We start from the raw sequence: 8,142 nt of genomic DNA on the forward strand, positions 1-8,142 counted from the left end.
AAACCATCAGATCTTGTGAGACTTATTCAGTATCATGAGAACAGCACAGGAAACACCTGCCCCCATGCCCATCAGGTCCCTCCCATGACATGTGGGAATTATGGGAGCTACAGTTTATGATGAGATTTGGGTGGGGACAGAGCCAAACCATATCATTTCACCCCTGACCCCTCCCAGATCTCATGTCCTCACATTTTAAAACCAATCATACCTTCTCAATAGTCTCCCAAAGTCTTAACTCATTTCAGCATTAACCGAAAAGCCCACAGTCCAAAGTCTCATCTAAGACAAGGCATGTCTTTTCCACCTATGAGCCTGTAAAATCAAAAGCAAGTTAGTTACTTTCTAGATACAATGTGGGTACAGGCATTGGGTAAATGTTCTCATTCCATATGGGAGACAATGGCCAAAATGGAGGGGCTACAGGCCCAATGCAAATCCAAAATCCAATAGGGCTGTCATTAAACCTTAAAGTTCCAAAATAATCTCCTTTGACTCCATGTCTCACATCCAAGTCATGTTGATACAAAAGGGGGGTTCCCATGGTCTTGGGCAGCTCTACTTCTGTGGCTTTGCAGGATACAGCCCTTTTTCTGGCTACTTTTACAGGCTGGCATTGAGTGTCTGTGGCTTTTCCAGGCACACAGTGCAAGCTTTCAGTGGATCTACCTTTCTGGGGTCTGAAGAACAGTGGCCCTTTTCTCACAGCTCCCCTAGGCAGTGCCGCAGTGGGGACTCTATTTGGGAGCTTCAACTTCAAATTTCCCTTCCACACTACCCTAGCAGAGGTTCTCCATGAGGGCCCCACTCCTTCAGTTAACTTCTGGCCAGACATCCAGGCATTTGCATACATCATCTGAAATCTAGGCGGAGGTTCCCAAACCTCAACTCTTGACTTTTCTGCATCTGAGGACTCAATGCTATGTGGAAACTGCCAATGACTGGGGCTTGCACCCTCTGAAACCATTGTCTGAGCTGTACCTTGGCCTCTTTTAGTCATGGCTGGAGCAGCTGAGATGCAGGGCACCAAGTCCCTATGCTGAACATAGCAGGTGGGCCCTGGGCCTGGCCCACCAAACTGTTTTTTCCTCCTATGCCTCTAGGCCTGCGATGGGAGGCACTGCCGTGAAGGTCTCTGACAAGCTTTGGAGACATTTTCCCCATTGTCTTGGTGATTAACATTTGGCTCCTCATTACTTATGTAAATTTCTGCAGCTGGCTTAAATTTCTCCCAAGAACATGGGGTTTTCTTTTGCATCATCAGGCTGCAAATTTTCCAAAGTTTTCTTCTGCCAAATACCCTAAATAATCTCTCTCAAGTTAAAATTTCTACAGATACCTAGGGCAGGGGCAAAATGGTACCGGTCTCTTTGCATAGTAAGAGTAACCTTTACTCCAGTTCCCAACAAGTTCCTCATTTTTATCTGAGACCACTTCAGCCTAGAACTTATTGTCAGTATCACTATCAGCATTTTGGTCAAAGCCAATCAACAAGTCTCTAGGAAGTTCCAAACTTTCACACATCTCCCTTTCTTTTTCTGAGCCCTCCAAACTGTTCCGGCCTCTGCCTTTTACCCATTTCCAAAGTCACTTCCACATTTTTGGGTATCTTTACACCAGCACCCCAATACTGGTACCAATTTACTGTATTAGTCTGTTCTCACACTGCTAATAAAGACATACCCAAGACTGGGTAATTTTTAAAGGAAAGAAGTTTAATTGAGTCACAGTTCCACATGGCTGGGGAGGCCTCACAATCATGTCAGAAGGCAAAAAAGGAGCAAAGTCATGTTTTGCATGGTGGCAGGTAAAAGAGCATTTTCAGGGGAGCTCCCCTTTGTAAAACCATCAGATCTTGTGAGACGTATTCAGTATCATAAGAACAGCATGGGAAAGACCTACCCTCATGATTCAATTACCTCCTACCAGGTCCCTCACACAACTTGTGGGAATTATGGGACCTACAATTTAAGATAAGATTTGGGTGGGGATACAGCCAAATCATATCAATTATTCAGAGGTATTGGCCTGCAGTTTTCTTTTTTTGATATGTTCTTGGTATCAGTGTAATATTGGCCTCATAGAATGAGTTTGGAAATATTCCCTCCTCCTCTATTTTTTAGAATAATTTCAGCTGGATTAGTATTAGTTCTCCTTTAGGTGTTGGTAGAATTCAGCAGTGAAGACATTGGGTCTTGGACTTTTTTTTTGAGAGATTTTTTTTATTATAGTTTTGATCTCATTACTTGTTATTGGTCCATTCAGGTTTTGAATTCGTCCCTGGTTTATTCTTTGTAGGTTGTATGTGTCTAGAAATTTGTCCATTTCTTGTAGATTTTCCAAGTTATTGGCATATAGTTGCTCATAGTAACCAGTAATAATCCTTTGACTTTCTGCAGTATCAGTTGTAATATCTTTTTTTAAATTTTCATCTTCTCTCTTTTTTTCTTAGTCAGGCTAAAAGTTTGTCAATTTTAACTTTTTACAAAACTAACTTTTGTTTCATTGATCTTTGTATTTTTTAATTTCAATTTCCTTACTTTCTTCTCTGATCTTTATTATTTCTTTTCTTCTACTAATTTTATTAGGTTTGGTTTGCTCTTGCTTTTCTAGTTCAAGTTGCATAGTTAGATTTTTTTTGAAGTTTTTACTCTTTATTATGTAGCCACTTATAGCTATAAACTTCACTCTGAGTACTGCTTTGTTGTATTCCATATATTTTGGTATGCTGTGTTCCCATTATCATTTGTTTCAATAAATTTTTTAATTTTCTTCTTAATTTCTTCATTCACCCACTGGTCATTCAGAAGCATATTGATTAATTTCCATGTAGTTGTATATTTTCTTTTTATTTATTTTTATTTTTTATTTTTGCATAGGTATCGGGGTATGGTTGGTTTTTGGTTACATGAGTAAGTTCTTTAATGGTGATTTGTGAGATTTTGGTGCACTTATCACCCGAGCAGTATACACTGCATCACATTTGCAGTCTTTTATTCCTCACTCCTCCCATCCTTCCCCACTGAGTCCCCAAAATCCATTGTATCATTCTTATGCCTTATATCCTCATACGTTTGCTCTCACATTTCAGTGAGAACATACAATGTTTGGTTTTCCATTCCTGGGTTACTTCACTTAGAATAATAGTCTACAATCTTATCTAGGTTGCTGCAAATGCCATTAATTGATTCCTCTTTATGGCTGATTAGTATTCCATCATATTTATATATATATATATATATATATAAATCACAGCTTTTTTATCTACTCGTTGATTGATAGGCATCTGGGTTGGTTCCACGATTTTGCAATTGCGAATTGTGCTGCTATAAACGTGTGTGTGCAAGTATCTTTTTCATATAATGACTTATTTTCCTCTGAGTAGATACCCAGTAGTGGAATTGCTGGATCAAATATTAGTTCTACTTTTAATTCTTTAAGGAATCTCAACACTGTTTTCCATGGTGGTTGTACCAGTTTATATTCCCACCAGCAGCGTAGAAGAGTTCCCTGATAACTGCATCCATGCCAACATCTACTGTTTTTAATTTTTTGATTATGACCATTTTTTGCAGGAGTAAGGTGGTATCGCATTGTGGTTTTCATTTTCATTTTTCTGATCATTAGTGGTGTTGAGTATTTTTTCATATGTTTGTTGGTCATTTGTGTGTATTCTTTTGAGAAAGTCTATTCATGTCCTTAGCCCACTTTTTGATGAAATCATTTGTTTATATCTTGCTGACTTAAATTTATTGTAGATTCTGGACATTAGTTTTCTGTCAGATGTATAGATTGCAAAGATTTTCTCCCACTCTGTGGGTTTTCTGTTTACTCTTCTGACTGTTCCTTTTGTCGTACAAAAGCTCTTTAGTTTAATTAAGTCCCAACTCTTTATCTTTGTTTTTATTACATTTGCTTTTGGGTTCTTGGTCCTGAAATCCTTGGCTAAGTCAATGTCTACAAGGGGTTTTCCAATGTTATCTTCTAGAATTTTTATAGTTTCATGTTTTAGATTTAAGTCCTTAATCTATCTTGAGTTGATTTTTGTATAAGGTGAGAGATAAGTATCCAGTTTTATTCTCCTACATGTGGCTAGCCAGTCATCCCAGGAATATTTGTTGAAAATGATGTCTTTTCCCCACTTTATGTTTTTGTTTTTTTTTATTGAAGATCAGTTGGATATAAGTATTTGGGTTCATTTCTATGTTCTCTATTCTGTTCCACTGGTTTATGTGCCTATTTTTATACCAATATCATGCTGTTTTTGTGACTATGGCCTTATAGCATAGTTTGAAATCAGGTAGTGTCATGCCTACAGATTTGTTCTTTTTGCTTAGCCTTGCTTTGTCTATGTGGAATGTGTTTTTGGTTCATATGAATTTTAGAATTGTTTTTTCTAATTCTGTGAAGAATGATGGTAGTATTTTGATGGGGATTGCATTGAATTTGTAGATTGCTTTTGGCAGTATGGTCATTTTCACAATATTGTTTCTACCCATCCATGAGTATGGGATGTGTTTCCATTTGTGTGTGTCATAGATGATTTCTTTCAGCAGTGTTTTGTAGATTTTCTTATAGAGGTCTTTTGACTCCTTGGTTAGGTATATTCCTAAGTATTTTTTTTTTTTTTTGCAGCTATTGCGAAAGGGATTGAGTTCTTTATTTGATTCTCAGCTTAGCTGCCGTTGGTGTATGGAAGAGCTAATAATTTGTGTACATTAATCTTGTATCTTGAAATTTACAGAATTATTTTATCAGTTCTAGGAGCTTTCTGAAAAAGTCTTTAGAGTTTTCTAGGTATACAATCATATCATCAGCAAACAGTGACAGTTTGATTTCCTCTATACCGATTTGGATGCTCTTTGTTTCTTTCTCTTTTCTGATTGCTCTAGCTAGGACATCCAGTACTGTGTAGAAGAGGAGTGGTGAGAGTGGGTGTACTTGTCTTGTTCCTGTTCTCAGAGGAAATGCTTTCAACTCTTCCTCATTCAGTATTATGTTGGCTTTGGGTTTGTCATAGATGGCTTTTATTTCATTGAGGTATGTTTCTTGAATGCCAATTTTGCTGAGAGTTTTAATCATAAAGGGATGCTAGATTTTGTTGAATGGTGTTTCTGCATCTATTGGGATGGCTATGTGATTTTTGTTTTTAATTCTGTTTATGTGGTGTATCACATTTATTGACTTGCATATGTTACACCATCCCTGCATCCCTGGTATGAAACCTACTTGATCATGGTGGATTATCTTTTTGATATTTTGTTGGATTTGGTTAGATATATTTTTTTAAAGGATTGTAGCATCTGTGTTCATCTGGGATATCAGTCTGTAGTTTTCTTTTTTGCTTATGTCCTTTCCTGGTTTTGGTATGAGGGTGACACTGACTTCATAGAATGAATTAGGGAGGGTTCCTTCTTTCTCTCTATTGTCGAATAGTGTCAATAGAATTGCTACCAGTTCTTCTTTGAATGTCTGATAGAATTCTGTTGTGAATCCATCTGGTCCTGAACATTTTTTTGTTTCTATTTTTTAAATTACCGTTTTAATCTCGCTGCTTTTTATTGGTGTCTTCAGAGTATCTAATTCTTCCTGATCTAAGCTAGGAGGGTTGCATTTTTCCAGGAGTTTATCCATCTCTTATAGGTTTTCTAGTTTATGTGCATAAAAGTGTTCAGAGTAACCTTGAATGACCTTTTGTATTTCTTTGGTGCCAGTTGTAATATCTCTCGTTTTATTTCTTGTTGAGGTTATTTGGATTTTCTCTCTTTTTTCCCTGGGTAATCTTGCTAATGGTTTATCAACTTTATTTATCTTTTCAAAGAGCCAGCTTTTTAAAAACAAATTATCTTTTGTATTTTATTTTGTTTTGTTTTAATTTCATTTAGTTCTCTGATCTTGGTTATTTCCTTTCTTCTGCTGGCTTTGGGCTTGATTTGTTCTTGTTTCTCTAGTTCCTTGGGGTGTGACCTTAGATTGTATGTTTCAGCTCTTTTAGTCTTTTTGATGTAGACATTTAGGGCTGTTAACTTTTCTATTAGCACCACCTTTGCTGTATCCCACAGGTTTTCATAGGTTATGTCACTATTGTCATTCAGTTTGAATAATTTTTTAACTTGTATTTTAATTTTGTTTTTGATCTAATGCTCATTCAGGAGCAGGTTATTTAATTTCCATTCATTTTCATGGTTTTGAAGATTCATTTTGAAGTGAATTTCCAGTTTTATTCCACTGTGGTCTGAGAGAGTGCTTGGTATAACTTCAATTTTCTTGAATTTATTCAGGCTCATTTTGTGGCCTATCATATGGTTTATCTTGGAGAAATTTCCATGTGCTGTTGAATAAAATGTGTATTCTGAGGTTGGATGGAATATTTTGTATATATCTGTTAAGTCCATTTGTTCCAAAGCACAGTTTAAATCCATTGTTTCTTTGTTGACCTTCTGTCTTGATGTCTTGTTTGCTAGGTCTCTAGCAAATCCAGGGATGTTTTCCTCAATTATTCCCCCAATATATTTTCCAATGTTTTAGAATTCTCTTCTTGCTCAGGGACACCGATTATTCTTAGGTTGGGTCATTTAACATATTCTCAGACTTCTTGGAGGCTTTTTTCATTTCTTTAAAATTCTTTTATCTTTGTCTTTGTTGGATTGGTTTAATTCAAAGACCTTGTCTTCGAGTTCTGAATTTCTTTCTTCTATTTCTTCAATTCTATTGCTGAGACTTTTCAGAGCATTTCCCATTTCTATAGGTTTGCCCAATGTTCTGAGAAGTTTTGATTGTTTTTTATTCATGCTGTCTATTTTCTTGATTATTTCTCCCTTCACTTCTTGTATCATTTTTTTGGGGATTTTCTTGCATTGGGCTTTGTCTTTCTCTGGTGCCTCTTTGATTAGCTTAGTAACTAACCTCCTGAATTCTTTTTCAGGTAAATAATGAATTTCGTCTTGGTTTGGATCCATTGCTGGTGATCTAGTGTAATTTTTTGAGGGTGATAAAGAGCCTTTTTTTGGGGTCATATTACCAGAGTTGATTTTCTGGTTTCCTCTTATTTGGGTAGGCTCTGTCAGAGGAGAGGTCTAGGGTTGAAAGCTGTTATTCAACCCTAGACCCACGTGGTGTTCCCTTGATGTAGTAGTCTTCCCCTTTTCCTATGGATATCGCTTCCTGAGAGCCAAGCTGTAGTGATTGTTATCTCTTCTGGATCTAGCTACCCACCAAGTCTACCAGGCTCCAGGCTGGTACTGAGGGTTGTCTTCACAGAGTCCTGTGATATGAACTGTCCATGGGTCTCTCAGCTGTGAATACCGGCACCTGTTCCAGTGGAGGTGGCAGGGGGTTGAAATGGATTCCATGAGGGACCTTAGCTTTGGTAGTTCAATGCTTTATTTTTGTGCTGGTTGGCCTCCTGCCAGGAGGTGGTGCTTTCCAGAGAGCATCAGCTGTGGTAGTATGGAGTGGTAGTGGTGGTGGGTGGGGCCCTAGAACTCCCAAGAGTATATGGCCTTTGTCTTCAGCTACCAGGATTGGTAGAAAAGGACCATCTGGTAGGGGCAGAGCTAGACCTGTCTGAGCTCAGACTCTTTTTGGGTGGGTCTTGCTGCGGCTGCTGTGGGTTACGTGGGTGAGGTATCAGGTCAATGTATTGATGTACCTAGAAAGATTATGGCTGTCCTTGCTGGGTCCTGCAGGTTGTCAGGAAAGTGGGGGAGAGCCAGCAGTCACAGACCTCACCCAACTCCCAGACAATTTGAAGGGCCAGTCTCACTCCCACCATGCCCCCCATAACAGCACCAAGTCTGTTTCCAGGCAGTAGGCAAGCAGGGCTGAGAACTTGCCTCAGGCTACCCTCCTCCCAACTCCAAAAGAAAAGGGCTTTGTTTCTTCTCCTGCCTGTGGAGTCTGCATGCCAGATTTGTGCCCTCCTCTGAGTTTTGACCAGGAGGCTTCTTAACTAGTTCAAATTGTTACAAAGTTTAGCTGGAGACTTCCTTCTCCCTGGGGTGTTTTTCCCACATCTCTGGCTGCCTTCCCAAAGGATTCCTGTGATGCCAGGCAGAAGTGGCCTACTTGGGGACTCAGCAAGCTCCCAGGGCCTTTTTTATTGCTTCCTCTACCCTTGTATTTTGCTCAGCTCTCTAAATT

The sequence above is a fragment of the Homo sapiens genome, chromosome X (genome assembly GCF_000001405.40).
Source record: "Homo sapiens chromosome X, GRCh38.p14 Primary Assembly".
NCBI lineage: Eukaryota > Metazoa > Chordata > Mammalia > Primates > Hominidae > Homo > Homo sapiens.